Source organism: Homo sapiens, chromosome 15, assembly GCF_000001405.40.
Source record: "Homo sapiens chromosome 15, GRCh38.p14 Primary Assembly".
Lineage (NCBI taxonomy): Eukaryota > Metazoa > Chordata > Mammalia > Primates > Hominidae > Homo > Homo sapiens.
In genome coordinates, this window is record NC_000015.10 from 63,913,962 (window position 1) to 63,938,843 (window position 24,882).

At 48.2% G+C, this 24,882-nt stretch overlaps 1 protein-coding gene and 1 long non-coding RNA gene across 25 annotated transcripts in view; one reads left to right on the top strand and one right to left on the bottom strand.

Moving 5' to 3' along the window:
- DAPK2 (death associated protein kinase 2) overlaps positions 1–24,882 on the bottom strand; it is a 139,450-nt gene that overhangs the window by 6,926 nt on the left and 107,642 nt on the right. For 15 of the 24 annotated variants that reach the window (NR_169523.1, NR_169524.1, NM_001385000.1 and 12 more), the window contains 4 exons: positions 16,446–16,494; positions 15,590–15,616; positions 11,980–12,132; positions 10,855–10,900 (listed from right to left, as the gene is read on the bottom strand). Coding sequence is in view for 20 of the 24 variants with exons in the window: in NM_001385000.1 (NP_001371929.1) it covers positions 10,855–10,900; positions 11,980–12,132; positions 15,590–15,616; positions 16,446–16,494 (275 nt within the window). In the remaining 4 variants the exon portion in view is untranslated. Of the gene's footprint in view, positions 1–2,182; positions 9,383–10,854; positions 10,901–11,979; positions 12,133–15,589; positions 16,495–24,882 lie in introns of those variants that run through there. The other 9 variants (NM_001395283.1, NM_001395284.1, NM_001384998.1 and 6 more) reach the window with 5 other exon arrangements.
- Positions 14,313–21,992, top strand: LOC101928988 (uncharacterized). Its single transcript, NR_120344.1, has 4 exons — positions 14,313–14,527; positions 15,550–15,877; positions 18,601–18,716; positions 21,580–21,992. It is a non-coding gene; the product is annotated as an uncharacterized LOC101928988 (long non-coding RNA).

The window sequence follows — 24,882 nt, forward strand, 5'->3', positions numbered from 1 at the left end:
GTCTATGTCAATGCCCTGCCCTACTCTCCTCCCAACCCGGGACCTACAACAGTGAGTGCTTAATAGTTGTATGGTTAAGTCATTTCCCTGAGCTGTTGGAGAGATAAGTTGGAATGAAATCCCAGGACCTGGGACCTACTCACTCCCACTGATGAGGGGCCCAGGTCACCTGGTCAGCCCAGTCACACCACCTTGAAAGGGTGTCAGGGCACAAAGGTTCCCCATGGCTCTGCCCAGGAGTCAGTAGGATGTACAGCTCCGGGGCGGGGGGTGGGGTGACCCAAAGCTGGAGGGGGAGTGCATGCAACCTGGAAGTGGATGGGAGATGAGAAAACCTGGGGCTATTCACCCTCCGAAACTGAAGCACAGTGCTTTTGGGCCAAAGAGTACAGAAGGAAAGAGAGGAGGGGAAGGAGAAAGACAAGGAATGGGAAGAGAAAAGGACAAGGCTGCCGGAGGAACCAGCAGGCCATGTCCAGCCCTCTAGATCCTGTCTTTAACTGTCTGTCACCCACTCTGTGCACCTGCAAGCCCAGCCCTGGGTCTAGTCCCCCCCTGGAAGGGAGGCACAAAAGTGGATGGAGGGTGACCAATCTGTGCTGAAGACCTTGCCTTTTCCCTTCTCCAAGCCTTCCAGTGGCTTCCCTGTGCCCTCTATACATCCCCACGAGCTCATGGAGACCCTCAAGGCCTGTACCCTCCACCCTGATTTTCTACCTCTCTGCTTCCTGTCCATTTGGCTCCCATCGCACAGGTCCACTTGCTGGTCTGTGAATCCAAAGTCTCCGGGTCTTTGCCCTTGCTCTCTCCTATACTCACTTTATCACCTTGTTCAAGTCTTTGCTCAAATGTTATCTCCTAAGGGAAGCCTTCCTTGACCACCCTATATAAAGTAGCAAGCCAACTTCCCCCATGATTCACTATGCCGGGGCACTAAATCTTCATTACACGTGGTGCTACCCAATATTCTATTCTGTATTTATTCACATTCAGTCCTCAGTATCCTTGAAGGGTTGGTTCTAGGACTGCCGCAGATACCAAAATCCATGGATGCTCAAGTCCCTTATTATAAAATGGTGTGGTATTTGCATATAACCTACACATACCCTCCCCTAATGCTTTAAATCATCTCTAGATTACTTATAATAGCAAATATGATATAAATGCTATGTAAATAGTTGTCACACTGTATTATTTGCATTTATTATTGTAATGTTATTTTTATTTTTACTTTTTGCGTATTTCTGATCTGTGGTTGACTGAATCTGAGGATGTGGAACTTGCAGGTAGGGAGGGCTGACTGCTTGTTTTTTGTTAGTCCTCTCTCCCTTGCACCTCCAAGCTCCTAGAATCTCGTTTCCAAGGTGCTTAGCACCCTCCCCAACCCATCAACCATTTCTAAGTCTAACTTCACTGATGTCTGCAATTCCCCTGGGCATGAATGACCTTTGAGCCTAACCCTCACAGGGGCACCTGCACCTCACAAGGAGAGTTTGCTCAGATGGGATTAGTAGACTCTGGGGGAGAAGAGATTTCTTTTTGCCCACTTACTGATTGGCACCCTCACCCAGGGGAGGAAGAGCTAAGCCCATGGCTGGAAGGTCAACTTGCAGGTGTGGGGAATCTCGTTAATGAGAATCCCACCCTCCTCCTGGCCCAGCAGTGCCAGCCACTGAGCAGAGGGGCCCAGCTAAAATGTCAGGTGAGATCATTCCCAGAGGCTATTAATGGGAGGTGATGCAATTCTTTTGAGGGCCCTGTTTATAGCTACACACAACACCACCAACCCTGAGGAGGCAGCATGGGGCTATCATTCTGTCAGGCTGGCCTTTCCTAATCAATGGGCCTTCCTGGTTGTTAAGAGCCCCACCAAACGCTGATGCTGACATCTCAGCCTGGAAAGATGTAAATTCTGCAGCAGAGGTGAAAATTCTGCAGCAAAATTGTTCCCAGAGGGAATGTGGCACAAACACTTTTGATTCGACTTGGGGTGTGAGGGGGAGATGGAACTGTGTCCTGCCTTCTCCTGACCCGCCCCTCCCTGCAAACAGAAAGTGCCCGCCTTCTGGCCTTGTGGTCCATCCGTGATACCAGGGAGCCCTGGGTGATTCTGACCAGGCTCCTAGGAGTGTGTTTGGTGTCTTGGAAAAATGTCCAAAAGGGAAGCAAGAAGACAGAAAACTGTGGGGTAGTCAAGTTTTGTTTATGCAGCTGCAAATGCCTTTGAAAAAGTCCAGTGGGGTGTGCCAGGTCAGTACCAACATCCACAGGCAGGGGCAGGAAGCAGCAGCCGCTGCTAAGGCATGAAAAAGGAATCCTGGCTTTACTGAAGAGGCGACTCCCCCAACTCCACCCCCCACACAACGATTTTCTCTAGATACTAGGTCTTCTTTAGGAACTGCAAGCAGATTGCACCTCCAACCCCCATCTGTGCCATCTCTCCAGCCCCTTACTCCAGTGAAAGCCAGGGCACTCTCACACCCACTTCTCTCCTGCCCAGGACCCCTCCCCGCTGCCCTTCCCTCAATGGAGTTTTATAGGTGGCACCCCTCCACCCCTCCCCTTCGCTGGATGTTTTGATGGCTGAAGCCTGGGCTCTGCTGCCTTCACCCACCTGTTTTCCCAGGAAAGGAGCACATGGGGCTTGTGGGAGGCTTGAGGCTCTGCCTCCTCCTAAGTGGGAGGGACAGCTGCAGAAAGGCTGTGAGCCTGAAGGCTGCCCCCTACAGTGAACAAGCCAGTGGAAGGAGGCAGAAACATTCCTTTCCTTGCTTGGCCTGGTCTCACATTTCTGAGTTAGGTCTTGACATGGATACGCTCTGTTTTTTATTCTTCTATGGGACCATCAGTTTTCTGAGCAATTTTTTGTCCCCAGGAAAAGCTTCAAAGGTTCTTCCTTTTGTACTGTTATAAAACCCAAGAGACTTGAGAGACGTAGCAACCAAATGCCACATGTGGACTGTTTGGATCCTGATTTGAACAAACCAGCTGTAATGGGACACTGTTGGGAGTGGTGGGGACATGTGAGGATGGAATGGGAATCCAGATGAGATGAAGGAATTATTGCTGATTTTGTCAAGTGTGATAATGGCATGGGGTTGTATTAAAAAGAAAGTCCTGGCTGGGTGCGGTGGCTCATGCCTGTAATCTCAGCACTTCGGGAGGCCGAGGCAGGCAGATCACCTGAGGTCAGGAGTTCAAGACTAGCCTGGCCAACATGATGAAACCCCATCTCTACTAAAAATACAAAAACTAGTTGGGTGTGGTGGTGGGTGCCTGTAATCTCAGCTACTCAGGAGGCTGAGGCAGGAGAATTGCTTGAACCTGGAAGATGGAGGTTGCAGTGAGCCAAGATCGCGCCATTGCACTCCAGCCTGGGCAACGAGAGTGAAACTCTGTCTCAAAAAAAAAAAAAGAAAAAAAGAAGAAGAAAATCCTTAGCAGAGATTTATGCTGGAGAACTTATGAGTTAAATAAGTCTGAAATTTGCTTTAAAATACCCCAGAAGAAAAGTAATGGGAGAGATGAATGAAAGAGGACCCGCATGACTTGATTCCTGCTGGAGCGGGGTCATAGGTCCTGGAATCCACTATCCCATTCCTTATACTTCTGTGCAAGTTTTGGCAATTTTCCTGCTGAGGGGACCATAACAAAAAGTTTAAAACACTCTTTTAAATCTGTGTAATCTCCCTCTCTTTAATCTCCATTCAACTGTTCCAAGTTCCTAACCCCAATCTTGGCTCAGCCCCACCCCCCTTCCAGATTTTACTCATGCCTTCCTCAAGGGACACAGCTTGGGAGTGGAGGAGGGCGGTCACTGGTGGGGACGGCGTCCCTGGGAAGGCCTCTCTTCTCTGCAACCCTCTTACCCTTTCTCAATCAGAATTCCTCTCTCCTTTGATTTCTAGGAGATGAGGAAGCTCTATTTTATCACTCACCATAGCTTTTCCAATCTAGTTGGCTGGGTCCCCATCTGCCCCAGACACTGAATCTTTTATTTGAGGTTATCTTGTCCTTGTCTGTCACCTCCCCCTGAGCCAGAGCACAATCAGTGTTTGTTCAACGGGACTGGACCCTTTTGCAACGTGAACATGCCCACTGCTGGGTCAGGAATTTCACGGACCAAGGAAAAAAGGCATCCAGTCCCACAGACATTTACAGAAGATTGACAGTAGGGGTGACAGCTGGGCACACAGCCACCTCCAGCAAGGGCCGGGCCACCTGTGCTGCGTGATGGAGTGAGGTAGGAAGCCACCATCTTCATGATCACCTGTAAGGGAGGGGAGGGGGCCCATGGGGGAGACTCCAGCTCTTTCTGCCATTATTCCTCTGCTCCATCCCTTCACTGCCAGGCTCCCACAGCTGCAGAATCATCGATTACCAAACCATCACCCCACCTTCTGACACACAGTCAGGCAATGCTAGGCTGTGAGCACCTGCCTCACAGCAGGGACAGGCAGCTGCCTTCCCCAAGGGCCAGCTTGCCAGCTTCCTTGAGAATTGTTATTCAGGGCGATGTCATACACTCACTTTCCCCTCCCAAACAGCCCAGGATGGTGTTTGAACAGAGCACAGAAGCCGACCTTTTATTTGCAGTCTGGGCTGGGTGCAGTGGCTCACGCCTGTAATTCCAGCACTTTGGAAGGCCGAGGTGGGTGGATCACCTGAGGTCAGGAGTTCGAGACCAGCCTGACCAATGTGGTGAAACCCCCATCTCTACTAAAAATACAAAAATTAGCCGGGCATGGTGCTGCGCACCTATAGTCCCAGCTACTCAGGAGACTGAGGCAGGAGAATTGCTTGAACCTGGGAGGCAGAGGTTGGAGTGAGCCGAGATCATGCCACTGCACTCCAGCCTGGGCGGCAGAGTGAGACTCTGTGCGGCTCCCCCACCAAAAAAATTGCAATTTGGTGAATTAAAAATCCTCAATGGCAGAGGGGCCTGCCCACAGAGCAGCACCCACAAGCCTTCCTTCCTCTAGGCACCAGCGAAACAGTCCATTCTCACAGCCCTTCCCGCCATTGTTAGCCCTCCACACTGTTGTAAAAAGTCAGCTGAGGGCGTGTGGGGAGCAGAGATAAGCAGGTCCTGTGGCTGCATCCCACAGGCCCCCGGGCTCCCCCAGCATCAGGTTCCAATGCCATGGAAGGACGGGACTTCAGCTGGCCAGGACACAGAGGAAGGTCATGGTCTCCTCTGCTTTCCCCAAAAGACTTGGGGGCATTTCTCAACTCTCTTTCATTTGTCTTTAGAAGCTCTTTGTACAGAAAAAGGTCTGTTTACGACACGTCTAAGTGAGAAACAGTTACAGTGACTGGACATGAGCATAGAGAGGACGATGTCACTGCTATAAGGAAAACCACTTAGAGTTCGGAGTCCAGCTCACGGCCAACTAAATGGGTGACTCTCAGCACTGTGTATAGCTGATCATGATTCTAAAACAACCACTTCTCCCTCCCTTTTCCCAATTTTCCCCATTCAAATCATTGCCAACATTTTACTCTTTTACTGTATTCTATTTTTTATTTTTTTGAGACAGAGTCTCACTCTGTCACCCAGGCTGGAGTGCAATGGCGTGATCTTGGCTCACTGCAACCTCCGCCTTCCAGGTTCAAGCGATTCTCCTGCCTCAGCCTCCCGAGTGTCCTGAGTAGCTGGGACTACAGGCACCCACCACCATGCCCAGCTAATTTTTATATCTTTAGTAGAGACAGGATTTCTCCATGTTGGCCAGGCTGGTCTCACACTCCTGACCTCAAGTGATCCACCCACCTCAGCCTCCCAAAGTGCTGGGATTACAGGCATGAGCCACCACACTGGGCCTGCATTCTATTTTGACCTTCACTAAAAAGCTTGCCCTGTGTTGCCCCATCAGTGGCTTCCTCTCCTTAGAAACCTGGCTGTGTGAAGGTCAAGGTCTGTTAACACGGCCAAAGGGACATTTAATATTTGCAGTGTCTCAGCACCAAACAAGTATACAACTTCCCGTGACAGGGCAGGTAAGACCTTGGAGAGACTGTAGACAGGTCATTTGAACCAATTCTCTGGGGTAAGATGTAGGAAATGGAGCTTTTGCCATCTTTCATTGGTTCCAAGATATACATTTTTGGATCTCTGAAGTCAGGAGGCATCTCCCAGATGATGGTATCATATTCTTACTGTTGGCCCGGACAGAAGGCAGGTGCTCCGGGAGAGGATAGTACTGTTTTTGCCAGCCATCCAGGGCCACCCAGCCTCAGACTGTTGGACATTACACTCTCTGCTTGATGTTCTTTTGGATCACACTGATAGTGCAAATTCAGAAAGCAAACCTGCATGAGTACCACCGGCTTGGGACTCCTGTTCTCAGGGAAGGATTTTTCACCCCCATTTAGTGTCAAGGTTGAGATGCATGGGTTTCCTTGCTCCCCCTTTCTGCATGGTGGCTCTATTTCTCATTTACCCTCTCATTGAGGGCATCACAGCTTTATGTGGTGGGGGTAGAGAGAGTTTCCTATTAGACGCCCCATCTTGGGCCTTTTTTCTTAGTGGTCCATAAAATGATGATGCATCTTATCACCACGGTTTCTCATAGCTGATGAAGTAAGTTTCTGTTACAAATATTGTATATGATATTTGAAATGATCCTTCATGCATATAGAAAAGGAGACAGGATTCTGAAGAAATGGTTTCATGAGATGAAGCTTTCCTGTCTTGTCCTAAACCACTTCCTGTCTGAGCTGTTCACGGGGCATTCCCTCCCCAGCACCTGGAACCCGCTGGCTTCTCATGACTTTCGGGATAAGGGCAGAGCTCTTCCACATGGCCAAAGCCCTGCTGCTCCTGCTTGTTCTCCGGTCATTTCCGCACTGTATTCCTATTCTCTCCCCTCCAGCTTTCAGTCCTCACATTCTCAACCTTCCACACCGCCTCTCATCACAGAGCTCTGGTATGATGGCTCTGTTGGGAAACTTCTCTCTCCCTGGTTGGCTTAGCTGACCTCCGTTCCAGTGTCACTGCTTCAGGACGCTTCCCCCGATGCTGTCAGACCCTGACGGCAGGCCCCTGCAGTGCTATGTGCTTCTCTCCCAGCATGAACACAAGCTGCAGCTCTATCTCTCTGTGATTCTTGGTCAATGTTCAAATCCTTCGCTGGACTGAGCACTCCGTGAGACAGGAATCAGGCCTATTTTTACTAAACATTGTATCCCCAGAGTCAAGCCGGGCATCTGGAAGTTGGTTGGTGCCTAAGTATAATTTATAAATGGATGGATGAATCCAGGTGTGAGCTGCCCCCACAAGCAGGGAGTAAACTTCTGGAGCCTGGCGCAGCCAGGGGAAGCAGAAAGAGCAACAGACTTGTCATTAGAAGGTCTCTACTTTTGCCATAATGATGTGACCTTGGGAAAATCCCATCCTCTCCCTGTTTCCTCAGCTCTAAATTGGGAATATCGTTTAGTCTGCCTCTAAGATAGGGATGTTTTGTGAGGCCATGAAGACACTTTGAACTATACAAGTTATGCCCCTACCCACAAGCTTCTAGCTCAGCACTAGGCTCATATGCCATGCTCTGTTGACATGAGTTGGTTGACTGTCCCCTCCCCCAGAGAAAGGGAGATGAGATCTTATAATCCTTGGGGAGGGGTGCTCAAAGCTTTGGGTCATGAAACGACCATGTGGCCTTGCGCTTCCCCATCTTTATGTTTGCCCTTTTCAAAAACCCTCACGGAACTTCTTAGGCCTTCAAGGCCCAATGGCCTAGGTACATAAGAAAAGGAACCTCCTGTTGAGGACCTTCTGGCCTTTATTCTCGACACAGAGTTGGGGCCGTTAGCCAGAAGAGGAGAAAGGGTGGAGAATGGGAAGACTCCTTCCTTCCTTCTCTCCTGCTTGCAGGCTGGTCTTCAGACAGAGACAGGGATGGGTAGGGACAATGACTTTGCCTTCTGGGACAGAGCTCCTGGGACAATCATCTGCAGGTGTATGCATTCCACCTACACCTGGCAGAATACATGAAGTTGCTTACTTTACCTCTGGGACCTGGACTTTAATATTAAGGTAGATATTTACAGCAAAGCCTTACTACTTTCTCCCATATACCTCATCTTAGAGATGGGCATCCTGGGTTTCTGTTTCATCTGTACTGATTGACTATATCATTTTCCCTCTCTGAGTCAATTTTCTCATCAGTTACATGTAAATAATAATAATAATAATGCCACCCACCTTCCTATCTCACTGAGTTCTTTTAAGGACCAAGTGAGGTCATTTGTCAGACATGAGTGCTTGGTAAGTGAAAAATCAATGCAAACGAAAGGCAATATTATTTTCTCTATGCATTGTAAATCCCTGCTTCTGTAGCAGGAAAGCACCATGCTGACTTAGTTATTCCTAATTAACTCAAATATTACCCAAGATCTACAGTCCATAAGGTATGTAGGCAGAAAGTGAGATATGAACAAATCCTTCATCACAAATCAATTCTCAAGCATTTCCCCAGGGCCAGCCATCCTCCCTCTGCAGAAGGGGACCCTGAGGGGTACTCACTCTCTAATTGTTTTAACAGCTTGGCTGCCCTGCCAGAGCCCTCCCAGAAAACCAGATTGGTGAGGGGAGGTGCAGAATGAAGAATTAACTGGCACCTCAGCAATTCTGGATTCTGTGGAGGGGCTGGAAGGCTATACTACAGACACACACCCCTGCAGGATAATTCTAGCTGGAGGCCGCAGCAGGGTGGATGAGAACATGCTTCTGCAAACCTCTTGGGATGCATCACTGACTGGATTCTGGCGATTAGAGCTTCCAGCCTGCCAGAAATTCCTCAGTGCATGATCTGCTGAGCAGCTCTGACAGGGATTCACTGGTGTCCTGGTAGAATGTGGAGCCCAGGCCCTCAGAGCTCCCACTCTCCAGCTGGAAGCTGCCCACCAGCTCCTGAATCCACTGCAGGTCTGCGGAGAGCTCCTGCCTCAGAATCTCAAACTGGGCTTGCAGATGGTCCAGTTTCCTGGCCATGCTTCCGAGGCTACATCCCGTGGCCTGGATGTCTTCTCGCAGCAGCTTCTTCAATGACTCCACCTTGCGGAACTCATACCTGAGCTGGGACAGGTCATGCCGGGCGCTCTCATTCTCCTCTCGGTACCAAGCTTCCTTCTCATTGAAGATGGAGACCAGGGCCTCCACATCGTCCTGGATGGTATCGTGGGCCTCCACCAGGGCACGGCATCCCAGGTCGACCCGAGCCACGTCTTCCACCACACAGGCAAAACGCTCGAAGTTGACATAGGAGTTGTTGGGAGGCATGCTTGAGTGGCATTTGAGAGTGTACTCTCTCAGGTGCTTGGTCTTCAGCTGGGTGGGCTCTGTCTTCCGCTGTTCAGGGGCTCTGCCTTCTCCTTTTGACTGGTGGGTGTTCAGACAGAAGAATCAGAGTGTTAATTTGCCGCCCACCCCAGAGGGCAGTCCAAAGGGTAGGCAGAAGGCACACAAGCGGCCTCTGGCATTCACTGCATGCGTCAGGCCATGGGGAGAACCAGGGTGGGATGAGCACCTCCTTAGGCCATAAGTGAGGTCAAGGAGTGTGGGGGTGCTGTCTGCATGCTCATTCAGGGCAGAAGGGTCCACAGCCATTAGAGAGAGCTCCACACACATAGCATTTAAGGGGTGCTCACGCAGACAAGCAGGCTGCAGCCAGGACTCCGCAGGCATCTGCGCAGGGCTGGAGCACGCAAGGCCAGGGCTCACGCAGCAGGGCTGAGGAGCATCTCTCCTTCAGGGCTCCTTGGGCCTTCCCCATCCTTCAATGAGCTGATGAAGCTGAGCAGATAAAGCTGACCTCTTCCCAGACGACTCCAGCCCTCCCTGTTCTGTCTTCCACAGGCCTCACCTTCTCTTTGTATTGATTGATTGATTATTATTTTTTAGAGAGATGGGGTCTTGGCATGTTGCTCAAGTTGGTCTTGAACTCCTGGGCTCAAGTCATCCTTCTGCTGCCTCGGCCTCCCAAAGTGCTGGGATTACAGGCATGAGCCACTGCACCTGGCCTGCCTCACCTTTTCTTATCTCCACCTTTCTTATGGTCATTTCATCCTTGCTGGCCTTCTCACATAACAGTTAAGGTGAATGGGAAGTCTGGTGACGTCCCTGGGTGTGCATAGCTGGTCAGTCAGCAGAATTAGGGCCTGAATCCTGCTGAGTCTCACCCTCTCAAAGTGCTCTTCACCACACCAGACCACAAGAGCCTCTGGAAAGCCAGCAGCTGACTGGAAAGCCAGCAGGAAGCCCGACTGCAAGGCGAGTTAGGCAGGGATTCATTTTTTTGCCCTGACTCTCCCCAGAGGGAACAGAATTGCCCTAACAGTGGCTGTCTCTCTTCCCCACCAGGCCTCTGTCTCAGGCCCCATTCCTCAGGGCCTGAGGAGGTGGGTGGCTGATTTAAGTGTCATCCTTGACTTAGAGCCCCAAAAATCAGAAGGAAGGAGGCCTGGTCACAAAGTGGGGGTTTTCAATTGTCATCTATCTTTCTACACCTGGGGAGTCCTGATTTCCACTTGGAGAAGTGGCAGTGACATACCCTTCAACAAAGAACACTGTGTAAGTTGGCCCCAAAGAAAAAGGGTTTCAACTGTGGTTTGTGAGGGTTTCATTTCATAAGTTACCTGAATTTGAGACACACAAACTTAAAATAGCAAGCAAATAAACCTATTCGAATAAGCCCAGGCCCTCTGGGGCCCCTGGCTAGCTTTCATCTGTGCCCAGGGTCAGTGTTTAAAGCAAAGGCCTCTCCATGGGCCCTCTGCATCTGGCTGCCCAGGCCAACCCTGGCGACAGAGCAGGGACCCTTTGCCCATTGGAACTCATGGCTGTGCCCTTACCGTGATCCAGGGGTGTCTGAGAGCCTCTTGGATTGTGAGCCGTTTCCTGCAATGAGGATTGGGAAACAGTGATGATCCATGAGGACAGAAGTTGGGAGCAACCATCTCCGTTCTCACTCTTTTTAGACCTATATTTTGGCATTATTTGGCCACTGCCGTCAAACCAGTGGAATGGAGGATGCAGAGATGGATGGGAGCTGGCTGCAAATCCTGCACTCCAGGGGAAGGAAGCAGTCCAGACAGACCCCTCAATAGAGTGGCCTTGTTACCTACACCCATACTATTAGTCCCAAAGCTGAAAGGCCTAAGAAGAGTCATAAATGCTCCAATGAGCTTCCAGAATCTTCCAAAAGCCAACTCTCCATTGCTAAATCCCTGGTCTGTTTTTCTGTTTGCCTCCTGGATCCGTTCTCTGCCTTTCGCTGCTCTGTACCCAGGTAAGCAACTCTCCCTAGCACTGTTCTTAGACAGGAAAATCAGGGCCCTTGCACTCCAGACAACCCCACTCTGGCCCTCTCTGAAGTCTGTGGGATGGAGAGGACATGGTGTTCTAGTCTGTGGACCTTTCTTCCTGCCCCATCCAGAGCATGCTCTGGGTACCCAGCGCCCTGCAATTCCCTGCCTATTTCCTTCTTTGACCCCACAGCCACGGGACTCACCCTGGCCCCTGGAGAAGGGATAGGGTTAGCATGTCTTCCACCATCCCACTGTACTGACCTCTCTGAGCCTACCAGCTCCTACTCCCAACCTGAACTGGCTTGAAAACCCTGCCACTTAAACTTTTCAAATCTGAATTCCAGGTGCCTTTGGGACAGACTGCACAAGGTAATGAGCCCTAAAGAAACCCAGGCTGACTTGTAGCGCACACACACACACACACACACACACACACACACACACACACACATTATTTACATTTCAACAGGAGAAGAAAGCAGAAAGACTTGAGCAAACAAGATGAATGCCACGTCTTGGCTAGGCCACACTTTCCAGCACCTGCCCGGATTAGACCACAACAGTGCAGATGACAGCTATGTCAAAGTGGGGACATACTGACAGGTCTTTGACAGAGGCGACAGGAAGGGATCAGTACCTGAGAAACCAGTGGCTTCTCTGTCCTCTTACCGGGTCTCTTTAACCAGAAGCTTCCGAATAAAGTCCTTGGCCAGCTCGCTCGTCTGGCTGAAGAATTCCTCATCAAAGTCGTAACTCACTGCTGTGATATTTGCCAGTGTTTCCTGCTTCGTGTCTCCCAGGAAAGGGGATGCTCCACTTAAGCTGAGTACGACAGACAGGGAATCAAATAACTAAGGGAAAGTAGGTGGAAATGGGGATTACGGACTCGGGGAACCCTGCCCCATGACTGCTGCAGGGAGCTGGAAGGCTCCCAGCAACACAGCCTGCCCCCTCTGGGCAGCCAACCAGCAGCCTGTTCAGCTAAGTCCAATTCAATACATGTTCATGGAGCTCCTCCTAAGCACCCGACAGAGAGAAATTGTGTCTTCAACGGACTCAAAAGCGGAGGGGAGAGAAACACAGAGACATGTCTCTTTGTGATCCCCAGCAAGACAAGCAGAATATAATGGAAGGCCAGCCAAAGGATAGGGGAGCACAGGAAAGAGGGAGGCCCAGTGCAGCTTCACGGTGGCACAGATATTTGCATCATTTGTGTCTTGAAGAATAAAGAGGTTGTCAGCAGTCAGAGAAGGAGACGGAAAGGCCTTCTGGGTTACAGGAGCAACTTGAGCAGAGCCCACAAAGTTTGGAAATAGATGGGCCATTAGGGACAAGAAGGGTCTGTGTGGTTCCCCAACAGGGTTTGTCAAGGATGTCATACAAATAATGACTCCTACATCTACTATCTCCTGACTCAGATTTCAGTTGTTCATGGGATGCCTTGGTAGAGGTATGATCCAGCAGTGTCTGGATCAGATGTGCCATTGTCCCAAACTCATTGTGTCCAAACCCATTCCAAGCACTCCCTTGATGAATCACATTACTTCACAAATGTACCCGAGCTAGAAGCACAGGAGTCACCTTGGACTCTTCTTTCTATTCCCTTGCCACATCTGACTGGCCAAAAGCTTCCTTGTTGGTTCCATTTACTAAATATCTCTTGAAAGTCATCCCCATTTCCACAGCCACTTTCTTAGCATGGTGGCAGCAAGGTGCACTGTACAAATTTTGGTGTTGCAATCCTGGGTTTGAATCCCAGCTCAGCCACTCATTAGCTGTGTGAAGCTAGAACCCCTTGTGTAGTTTCCTCATCTGCAAAATGAAGAAAATAAAATTCCCACCTCATGTGATTGCTGTGAAGAATACATGCATACAAAAGCCTTCATGCAATCCTGGCCCACACTAAGGGCTCTGGAATTAATGGCCATTATTATTGTCATTGTGAGAACACAAAAGCCCTCTATGACTTCCCATCTTCTACAGGATCACATCTAAACTCTTGAGCAAGGCATCAAGAGTTGGTCCTTACCCCACGCTTGGTACACTTCAGCCACACTTAAGGTTTACCGTTCCTTTTCTCATGCCATTTCCTCAGCCAGCACAGCCCTTCCCTCCTCCACCCACAGAATTAACTTCGTTCCCTACATCCCAGTTCAAATTGATCCATCAATCATGTGCTGTCTCTATTTCTCTCTCAATAAACCTTCAGCAGTCCAGCAAACCAGTGGCTCCCCATCTGTGTCTCAAAGAGGCATGTTCATTCCTCCAGCCTAACCTTGGTTCCACTGGGTGTGAGTTAGGTGTATGGTGTGTCTCCCACAGACAGGGAGCCCCAGCAAGCAGGGAAGACCCTCCTTCATGTCAGTATCCTAGTGCCTGGTACAGTGCCTGCCATGGAGCAGACCTCAACAAAGCTGTTAAATTCAAATGAGCCACAAGAAGACTATGTGCTCAGTAGACACTGGGATTCCATTTTTTTTTTTTTTTGAGACAGGGTCTTGCTCTGTTGCCCAGGACGGAGTGCAGTGGTGCTACTACAGCTCACTGCAACTTCTGGGCTCAAGCGATCCTCCAGCGATCCTCCTGCCTCAGCCTCCCAAGTAGCTGGGACTACAGATGTGTGCCACCACACCTAGCTAGTTTTTTGTTTTGTTTTTTGTAGAGATGGGGTTTTGTCATGTTGCCCAGGCTGGTCTTGAACTCCTGGACTTAAGCATCTGCCCACCTCAGCCTTCCAAAATGCTGGGATTACATGGGATCCCTTCATAGTTCAAATCAGAGTCCTGAAGAAATCAAAGTTTCAAGAGCCAACATCAGACCGTTCTGGCTCTGATCTGAAACTATAGATCCATGGTTCTCAGCCTTCTCTTTGCATCAAATTCAGCTGGAGTTTTAAAAGATACAGATACTAAGTCCCTACCCCTAGCAATTGTGATATAATAGATCTGGGGTGGGGCCTGGGCCATGGTGGGTATTAAAAGCTCTGCTGTGCAGCCAGGGTTGAGATCTTCAGCTGCAGCTCAGGGGGATCCACCACGTCACACAGGGCTCCTAGTCCAAGAGCTGCTGGGAGAATCAGGGACCTGGCTCATAGGGATCATTGAGAGAATAATCCTCTCAGCTGCTGAGCACTGGTGCCCCCTGCCCCATCTGGTTGACTCTTACTCCAGGGTGCTATAAAAATAGCATTTTCCATGTGTGCCATGAAGGCAAAAAGGTTGGGAAGGGCTGATGGAATGAATACTCACTAGCCCACTGTGCATGTTCCAGAGTCAGGGCTAGGAGACTTGCGCATGTTGACTTATTTAGCTTTCACAACACACCCATGGCAGGAAGTTTGTGATTCCTATTTTTCTCATGAGAAAAACAAGCCCAGAGGTTAAGTCCCTACCCAAGGCCACAGAGATGGAAAGTGATAGTATCATGGGACTCCAGCCCCAGAGGTAACTCACTACACACTGGAGCTATGCAGGAAATCTCTGTCTAAGCAACTGAGTACTTCAGGGACAGGCAAAGAGGAAGGAGAAAGGAGGAGAGAGACAGTGAGAGGAAGAAAAGGGGATCTGGGGAAAAGGGGAAAGAAAGAAGAGGCAAGATTGGGGAGGGCATAAGTAGCTTCACAGGGCTGTCCCAAGAGTTCTGAGTGAAGGGCTGGGCACAGTGGCTCATACCTGTAATCCCAGCACTTTGGGAGGCTGAGGTGGATGGACCACGAGGTTAGGAGTTCAAGACCAGTCTGGCCAACATGGTGAAACCCTGTCTCTACTAAAAATACAAAATTAGCCAGGTGTGGTGGTGGGTGCCTGTAATCCCGGTTACTCGGGAGGCTGAGGCAGGAGAATTGCTTAACCTGGGAGGTGGAGGTTGCAGTGAGCCAAGATCACGCCACTGCACTCCAGACTGGGTGACAGAGCAAGACTCTGTCTCAAAAAAAAAAAAAAAAGAGTTCTGAGTGAAAAGTGACATTCTCCAGTATACCTCAGTCTGGGGGAGGGTGAGCAGGGGAGCCCTGGCATTCCATAGGAGGAATGCAGACACAGGTTGTGCAGAGTGGAGAGCCTGAGGCTGCTCCCCTGGATGCCTATTCAACCTCAATGCCAGGGTCAGATGGATGAAATGGACCTACAGCACTTAGCCTCAGGCTTGCTGTGTGGACTTAACACATCTGGATTATGGTGGGTGCTTAGTAAATGTCAGTCTATCAGCCTGCCCCTCTCTCATTCCTTCTGGTTCCCCCAGATCTAAGCTGAGCCAGAGCCCCTGGATCAGGGATACTCACAGGATGTAGGTGATGACGCCTATGCTCCTGCAAAATAAAGAACAGTCAAGTCAGGGCCACCTGGGTCCCATCCCCGACCAGCAAGGGACACCCTCATGGATCTAAGGGGAAGAGGTCACTTGCCTCCTCCACAGCAGACCCTGGATGCCGTCTCATGCTCCACACCCATCTCCATCCTGCTCTTCAGCAGCAGCCCGGGGTGTGTTTGGAGTCATCGAGCTCTGAACCCTGAGTCCGAAGACCCAAGTTCAAGATCAGACTCCTGCACTTGCAGGCTGTGTGATTTAGGTAAGTCCCTTACCACCTCGGAGCCCTTCCCCCCTTGTAAAATGAGGATAATGATAACTACCTCACAGGACTGTTGGCAGGATTTTAGAAAACCAGGTAACAAAGGTGCTTGGCCAACTATAAAGCAGCGTCCAAATGAAACGAGTCCCATCTGTGCAGAGGACTAATCCCTGCAGTATCCACAGGCCCAGCACAGTGCCCAGAACTCATGGACTTTCAGTGATGACTTGGTTGGCTGACTGAGCGAGCTACTGTTACTATTATATTTAACCCCAGCTGGGGCAGGCCCACGGGTGAGTCTGCGCCTCCCCCTTGCCTCTCCTCTTGCTCCTCCATTCCTGACAAAGCTCTGACCTGGCCAGGAGCTAACTGGCCTCAGGTCCAGGCCTAGAGACCTCCAGCTGCCCTGGCCACAGGTCTAACACATCGGGGGAGCAGCCAGAGGCTCTGAACAGTGAGTGTGGAGTAAGGGGCTTTCATGGTTAAGCGGATGTCACCTGGAGCAGGATCTGAGGCCTTCCGCCCTTGGAAGGATCGCTAGGTCACCTGAGTGGCCTATCCAACTTACCACATGTCAGCCTCCAGACCCAGGGGCTCGTAGTTCACAATTTCTGGAGCTGAAAGAAGTCATATTAAATAGTCAACATGAGTGTGAAAATGAGAGGAGAGATGGTTTTAGGGAATTTTAGGGAATTTGGTGCCAAATATCTCCATCCTGAATCTCCAGGAAAATTAGAGCAGCAGATAAAGGTGATCTGCATCTAAGATTCTGAGGAAAGGAGTTGCCATGGCCCAAATGTTTGTGCGTCCCCAAATTCATATATCGAAAGCAAATCCCCAATGCAATAGTATTAAGAAGTAGAGTCTTTAGGAGGTGATTAGGTCATGAGAATGGAAACCTCACAAGTGGGACTAGTACCCTTATAAAGAGGCCCGAGGGCTGGCTGTGGTGGCTCACACCTATAATCCCAGCACTTTGGGAGGCTGAGGCAGGAGGATTGCTGGAGCCCAGGAGTTGGAGACCAGCCTGGGCAGCACAGTGAGACCCCATCTCCACAAAACATTTTTTAAAATTAGCTGGGCATGATGGCACATGTCTGCAGTCCCAGGTACTTGGGAAGAGGCTGAGGTGGGAGGATTGCTTGAGCCTGGGAAGGCTGACGCTGCAGTGAGCCATCATTGCACCACTACACTCCAGCCTGGGTGACAGAGTGAGACCCATCTTAAAAAAAAGAGAAAGAAATAGAAAAAGAGGCCTGAGAGAACTTGTTTGCCCCTTTGGTCATTTGACAACTTAGCAAGAAGGCACCATCTATGAAACAGGGTGAGCTCTCACCAGAGTCCAAATTTGCTGGCACCTTGACCTTGGACTTCCTATCCTTCAAAACTGTAAGCAATAAATTTCTGTTGTTTATAAATGACCCACTTTAAGGTATTTCATTAAAGCAGCCCAAAAGGACTAAGAAAAGAGTTGTCTGTTATCCTGGTAGAAACCTTTTACAAACAGGCCTTGATAGGAAGAGGAAAAGTACACCGAACACCTGAAAAAGGAAGAGAAGGGCAGGGAGAGGAAGGTACAGGAAGGAGAAATGGGGCCTCGGCTATGTGGCCTGCTTTAGAACTCTCTGGTAAAGACCAGTCATGTCAGTGCTGGAAAGTGATGAAGAAGAAGGCAGAGAAGAACTCCATTTTCCTGAGTCTGGTCTGAAAGAGGGTACCTCCCACCTGAGGAGCAGGAGGACATTCCTGGGGGTCCCTGAGACAATGAGCTTGAGGTGCCTGAGGGGCAGCCAGGGGAAGATGTCCAGGGGCAGGCTCCAGGGGAGTGGTCCAGAGCCATCACGTTTGGAGCCATCCATGTACAGGAAGGAGCAGGAGCTGAGCCAACGATGTGATGAGCAGGAGAGGGTGCAGAGACTAGGAGAGATGGCTCTGCCAAGGAGAGAAGAAGATCAAATGCTCCCCAGAGATCAAGCAGATAATCCCTGGAAAGTGAGTGTTGAATTTCACAGCCCCGCAGTGCCCAGAGTGTCAAGAAGGTATAGGATGGGCGTGGTGGCTCAAACCTGTAATCCCAGCACTTTGGGAGGCCAAGGTAGGTGGATCACTTGATGTCAAGAGTTCGAGACCAGCTTGGCCAACATAGCGAAATCCCATCTCTACTAAAAATAAAAAAAAATTAGCTGGGTATGGTGGCGGGTGCTTTTAACCCCAGCTACTTGGGAGGCTGAGGCATGAGAATTGCTTGAACCTGGGAGGTGGAGGTTGCAGTGAGCTGAGATCATGCCACTGCACGCCAGCCTGGGTGACAGAGTGAGACCCTGTTTAAAAAAAAAAAAAAAAAAGGCTGGGCACAGTGGCTTACGCCTGTAATCCCAGCACTTTGGGAGGCCAAGGTGGGCAGATCACCTGAGGTTGGGAGTTTGAGATCAGCCTGACCAACATGGAGAAACCCTGTCTCAACTAAAAGTACAAAATTAGCCGGGCGTGGTAGCACATGCCTGTAATCCCAGCTACTCAGGAGGCTGAGGCAGGAGAACTGCTTGAACCCAGGAGATGGAGGTTGCAGTTGAGCTGAAATTGTGCCATCGCACTCCAGCCTGGGCAACAAGAACAAAACTCCGTCTCAAAAAAAAAAAAAAAAAAAAAAAAAGAAGCTACAAAGAAGTAGAGGTAAGAGTATAGATGACACTTTATTTTATTTATTTATTTATTTTTTTTAGATGACACTTTTTAAAAGCTTGGAGATCATGGAGGCAAAAAAGAGGACAGTAGCTTGAGAAGGAGGAAGGACTGAGCCCATTCAACTGCGAATGGAAAAGGTGGAGAGTGGGAAAGTGTGAGTTTATCTAAAACAATATCAAAACCATTGCATCCACAGCCTGTGTCTGCCCTCCTGTCCTCTTGCATCCTGCTACTTTAAGACTCAGGGAACTACGCTCCTGGTTTTGCTGCTGTTTTAGCTTTATAAAAATGCTGTCATACTGCATGTGATTTATAGTCACTTTATTTTTTCACTGAACATTTATGCTTCTAGTGTTCACTGATTGTTCATCCATGCTTTTTACATTTTCACTGCTATACGGTAATCCATCGTGTGAATGTGTATCATTTTTTAGTCATTCTCCTCTCAGAGTTCATTTAAATGGCTCCCATTTTAAACAATTATTGAAACGACATTGCTATGAACTTTTTTTTTGCATGTGTTTCCTAATGTGCACATGAAAGACTTTCTTTAGGTCAGTGATAATTCAAAGTGTGGTCTGCAGACGAATAGTCCACAGACTGTCACTGGTCCAACAAGATAGGCACAGAAATTTGGACTATGCATTTAGAGACTCTGATAGCAATGTGACACTGTTGTGACATCCAAACTGTGGTCATTTTTCTAATAATTTATTTGTTTTTATTTTTATTTTTTTGAGACAGAGTTTCACTCTTTTTGCCCAGGCTGGAGTGCAATGATGTGATCTCGGCTCATCGCAACCTCCACCTCCTGGGTTCAAGTGATTCTCCTGCCTCAGCCTCCCAAGTAGCTGGGATTACAGGTGCACGCCACCACAACAAGCTAATTTTATATTTTTAGTAGAGACGGGGTTTCACCATGTTGGCCAGGCTGGTCTCAAACTCCTGACCTCAGGTGATCCACGCCTCTCAGCCTCCCAAAGTGCTGGGATTACAGGCGTGAGCCACAGCGCCTGGCCTAAGAATTTATTTTTTATTGTATCTTACTGAAGTAGCAGTTCAGGACAGATTGATTTTTTTTTTTTTTTTTTTTGAGACAGGGTCTTGCTTAGTCACCCAGGCTGGAGTGCAGTGGCATGATCACAGCTCACTGCTGACTCAACCCCCTAGGGTTAAGCGATCCTCTCACCTCAGCCTCCCAAGTAGCTGGGACCACAGGCATGTGCCACTATACCAGGTAATTTTTAAATTTTTTTGTAGAGATGAGGTCTCACTGCGTTGCCCAGGCTGGTCTTCAATTTCTAGGCTCAAGCCTCCGGCCTCAGCCTCCCAAAGTGCTGGGATTACAGGCTTGAGCCACCACTTCCAGCTGAATTTTTTTTTTAAAGCTTTCATCATAGATTGAGAAGCAGAACTCACTTTCTCATGCCATTGATCTGAGATACATACACTTTTATTTCTGTCATCAACATGCTTTTATTTGTCTTTTTTTCTGTGCTTTTCTTTTCCTTTCTTGCCTTCTTTAAAAAATGAAGACTTTTGGTTTTATTGTTTTTCCCCAACTTCTTTTTTTTAACAGCTATCTTTGAGACATAACTGTGGATATCTAACAAATTCTAATATAAATCAACATTTTGATGCTCCTCGAACAACCTAAAAACCTCAGAACATTAATTTTAAACACTGCTGCATCTAACATTTTCTTCATGTTCTAGTTTTATCCTAGTTTTTTTTTTTTTTTTTTTTTTTTTTGAGACTGAGTCTTGCTCGTCACCCAGGCTGGAGTGCAATGGTGCCATCTTGGCTCACTGCAACCTCTGCCTCCTGGGTTCAAGTGATTCTCCTGCCTCAGCCTCCCAAGTAGCCGGGATTACAGGCACCCACCACCACACCCAGCTAATTTTTGTATTTTTAGTAGAGATGGGGTTTCACCACGTTGGCCAGGCTGGTCTTGAACTCCTGACCTCAGGTGATCCGCCCACCTTGGCCTCCCAAAGTGCTGAGATTACAGGTGTGAGCCATGGCACCCAGCCTATTGTTTTGTTTTGTGTTTTGAGACAGACTCTCACTGTTGCCCAGGCTGGAGTACAGTGGTGTTATCTCAGCTCTGTGCAACCTCCGCCTCCCAGGTTCAAGCAATTCTTCTGCCTCAGCTTCCAGTGTAACTGGGACTACAAGTGTGAGCCACAATGCCTGGCTAATTTTTTGTATTTTTAGTAGAGGTGGGGTTTCACCATGTTGCCCAGGTTGGTCTCAAACTCCTGGCCTCAAGTGATCTAACCGTCTTGGCCTCCCAAAAAAGCTGGGATTACAGGCGTGAGTCACTACGCCCAGCCATCATCACAATTTTAGGCAGAAAAATGTTTATATTTGCTTAATATTTACTGATTTCTTTGCTTCTATTACTTCTTGCTTTGAGGCCTCCCTTCAGAGTTCATTTCTTTAATTCAGAAGTACATCTTTTAGAAGTTCTGCTAATGATGGTGTATTGGTGGCAAACTCTATATCAATGTTTTGGGGTTTTTTTTTAATTGTTCTTATTTGTTTTTCTTAAATCTTTGCCTTCTTTTTTTTTTTTTTTTCCTGATACACGGTCTCACTCTGTCGTCTAGGCTAGAGTGCAATGGCGAGATCTCAGTTCACGACAACCTCTGCCTCCTGGGTTGAAGTGATCCTCCCGCCTTAGCCTCCCAAGTTGCTGGGATTACAAGCGTGCGCCACCATGCCTGGCTAATTTTTGTATTTTTAGTAGAGACAGGGTTTCACCATGTTGGTCAGGCTGGTCTCGAGCTCCTGACCTCAAGTGATCCACCCACCTCGGCCTCCCAAAGTCCTGGGATTACAGGCATGAGCCACCATGCCCGGCCTCATTCTTGAGATATATTTTTTCTGGGCACACAATTATGGGTTTACTTTTTATTTTTCCTCAGCTCTTTGAAGATAATATTCCACTGGATACTGGCTTCCATTGTTGTTTTGAGAAATATGCTGTAGATCTAATTATTGTTCTTTTGCAGGTATTTGTCTTCCCTGACTGCTTTGTCTTGGTACCCTTCAGTTTCACTATAATGTGTCTAGGTAAGATTTTTGTTTTTTTCTGCCTGGTATATATTGTCCTTTCTGTGTCTGTGGATGCATGGATGCAGTTCTGAAAATTCTCAGCCATTCTCTTCAAATAGTGCTTCTCCTTTTTTTCTTTTTGTATCTATTTCCTCCTTTTAGAATTCCAAAGAGATCTATGATAAGTTTTCTTTTTATCCTCTTTTGCTTATCCTCTCTTTCATATTTCTATGTCTTTGTCACTCTATGGTGCTCTAGCTAATTTGTTTCAGCTCTTTCAATTCTTCAACTCTCTCCTTAGCTGTATACAATCTGCTGTTTAACCCATTCACAGAGTTTTACATTTCAACAATTAAATTCTTTAAAGTTCTATCATCCTGTTCTTTTTAAAATTCATCTGGTCATTTTTGACACCTCTTGTTGCTTGCTCATTCTTGTGAGTCTACCTTTTATTTCTATGTATATAAAATGTACTTTAATATTTATATTCCACTAGTGTATATATTCCATCCATCAGATGTTACAGTCAACATCTGATAATTTCAGTATCTTATGTCCTTGAACATCTAAATTTTGCTAGTCTCTAACTGAAGTGGCGACAAGTGCACTTGCCTCTAGTGGAGTTCCTTCTGTTGAATTTTCTTGCTGCTCACTGCTCTAGCTCTAGGTTCAACTCATCAGCTTTTGGGGGTGGGACAGGTGGTGCTGAAGGAGTTACTATGTTTAAAGATTTCTCTGGCCAGGAGCGGTGGCTCGCTGGCTCACGTCGGTAATCCCAGCACTTTGGGAGGCCAAGGCAGGGGGATCACTTGAGGTCAGGAGTTCGAGACCTGCCTGGCCAACATGGTGAAACCCTGTCTCTACTAAAAATACAAAAATTAGCCAGACGTGGTGGTGGGTGCCTGTAATCCCAGCTACTAGGGAGGCTGAGGCACAAGAATCACTTGAACCCAGGAGGCGGAGGTTGCAGTGAGCTGAGATCACACCACTGCACTCCATGGGTGACAGAGTGAGACTCTGTCTCAATAAATAAATAAAAATAAAGATTTCTCTTATTTCCTGTGAGACCAGAATTTCATGAAAAAGAAAATTTTTCTCAAGAATCCAGTTTTGTAAGCCGGGCATGGTGGTTCACGCCTGTCACCCAGCACTTTGGGAGGCTGAGGTGGGAGGATCACTTGAATCCGGGAGTTTGAGATCAGCCTGGGCAATATAGTGAGACCCCACCTCAAAAAAATTTTTAAAAAATTGCCAGGCATAATGGTGCATGCCTGTAGACCAAGCTACTCAGGAGGCTGAGGTGGGAGGATTACTTGAGCCCAGGACATTGAATCTGCAGTGAGGTATGATTGCATCACTGCACTCCAGCCTGGGTGACAGAGTGAGACCCTGTCTCAAAAAAAAAAAAAAAAAAAAATCCAATTTTGTAGGAGGAGGGCTTTTCAGAACACCTAATCCACCCTAGTACTAAAAGCTGACACTAATTTTTTAACCCTGGGTCTGAGGTTAGAATATCAAAGGAATGGTGGGAGCAGGGGAAAATGGTTATAACCTGTTTCTCAGGGGTCTTGGGAAAGAAAGTCATCACAATTTAGCCAAGAGGTTGGAGAAGTCATCTTATATATTTTAAGGTAAAACAAAACCAGTGCAAACAAAACCATACTGGCTCACAAAAGCCAATGAGGTATATGTCTTTCCAACTCTGTGTTGAGTGACAACATGCCAGTACCTTGAAATTGGCCAATGCTATAAATTAGGGAATTTTTTTTTGAGACCTGGTTATTGGATATTTATCAGCATACCACTGGGCAAAACTCTCCATTGTATAGCCTCATCCATCAATAACCCACTCACACTAACAGTCTAGTGTGAACTCTGGGCTCCATTTGGAGTGGACAGTGACTTGTCCCTGATAAATGCCTTACTCTGGCCTTACTTCCCTGGTAGGGTATCAGTGAACCTGGGAGGTGTTCCTCCCCTCCTCTGGCTCCCTCCCCACCCCTCTTCAGAGACCTCTCCCACTCCAACACCAGCCCTTTTCCTCTCACTCACTCAAGGCCATGACTGATCCCATTGACTTTGCCAGAGTGGGTATCTCATATGAACAGTCTTTTCAGAACATCTATTTTACTTGCTTTACACTTAATCACATCCTGTCTTGTGATACCTCTTCCTTATTGCTCTCAGTTTCTAGTTGTTTATTGTTATTTAACAATTATAATAAACTTAATAGACATGCATTTTTACCACATATGTGAATGGTGGGTAGCAACTGCTCTTTCAGACAAAGCTCAAGTCTAGATGTCTGTGCCCCAGGTTTAAGTTGGCTCTGCCACCAACTTGTGACCTTGGGTGTGTCATTCTGAGTATGGCTCCTTAACATCGCTGTGTCCCCCATACATCACCTAATATCTGTCATACAGTAGGTGACAAATAACCTGAGTTTACCTTAACTAAAATCCCCCAGCCTGCCATCTCCACGTGTGTTAAACTGGACCAGAAAATCTAAAAAGATCCTTCTGGCACTCTTTTTTGATGGTTTGATGCCTTGTTTCTACAACTAAATTGTAAGCTCTTTGAGGGCAGGGTTTGTTAGAGAGACAACCTGGCATAATGGGAAGAGCACAGGCTTTGCTGTTGGCTGTATCTGTATTTGAATCTCAGCTCCACTGCCTACTGGTTGGGTTGCCTTGAACAAGGCACCTGTTGGAGAAAATAATTAACTCTGCTTCATGAAGCCATTTGGGGATAATTAAGACAATGTTTGTAGAGCATGAGACATAGTGCCTGGCACACAGCAAGGGCTTCCTGCCCTGGGATCTGTGGGGTCTCTGAGCAGCATTCTACGGTGGCTGCAGAGCCTGAAAATCCACCAGGTGGTTGGTCTGACACATTCTTTCTTTTTTATTTGACTGTGGTCAGAAGTTTTAGCACCCAGATTTTGAGGACATCATGCCCTCCCTATCTCCAAGACCACTCCAACTCCCAAAGCAGATAAACAGATGGTGGTTCTCAGCGCTCATTCCTTCCCCCTCTACAGGCTATTTCTTCATGACCCCAATCTCCGGCCCAAGCCCTATAAGGAGGCTTCTGGGGTACAGAATGGGCAGGGGCCTGGGCCAAGGGTGACAGAAACAGAGGGAAGAGGAAGCAGCCAGGGCCCCACTGGAGCTGGGCACCCCCATGCATGAATAAAGCCAGGCATAGAGGAGAGGCGAGTGGGTGGATGTGGTATTTGGCAGATGATTTCCTTTTTCCTT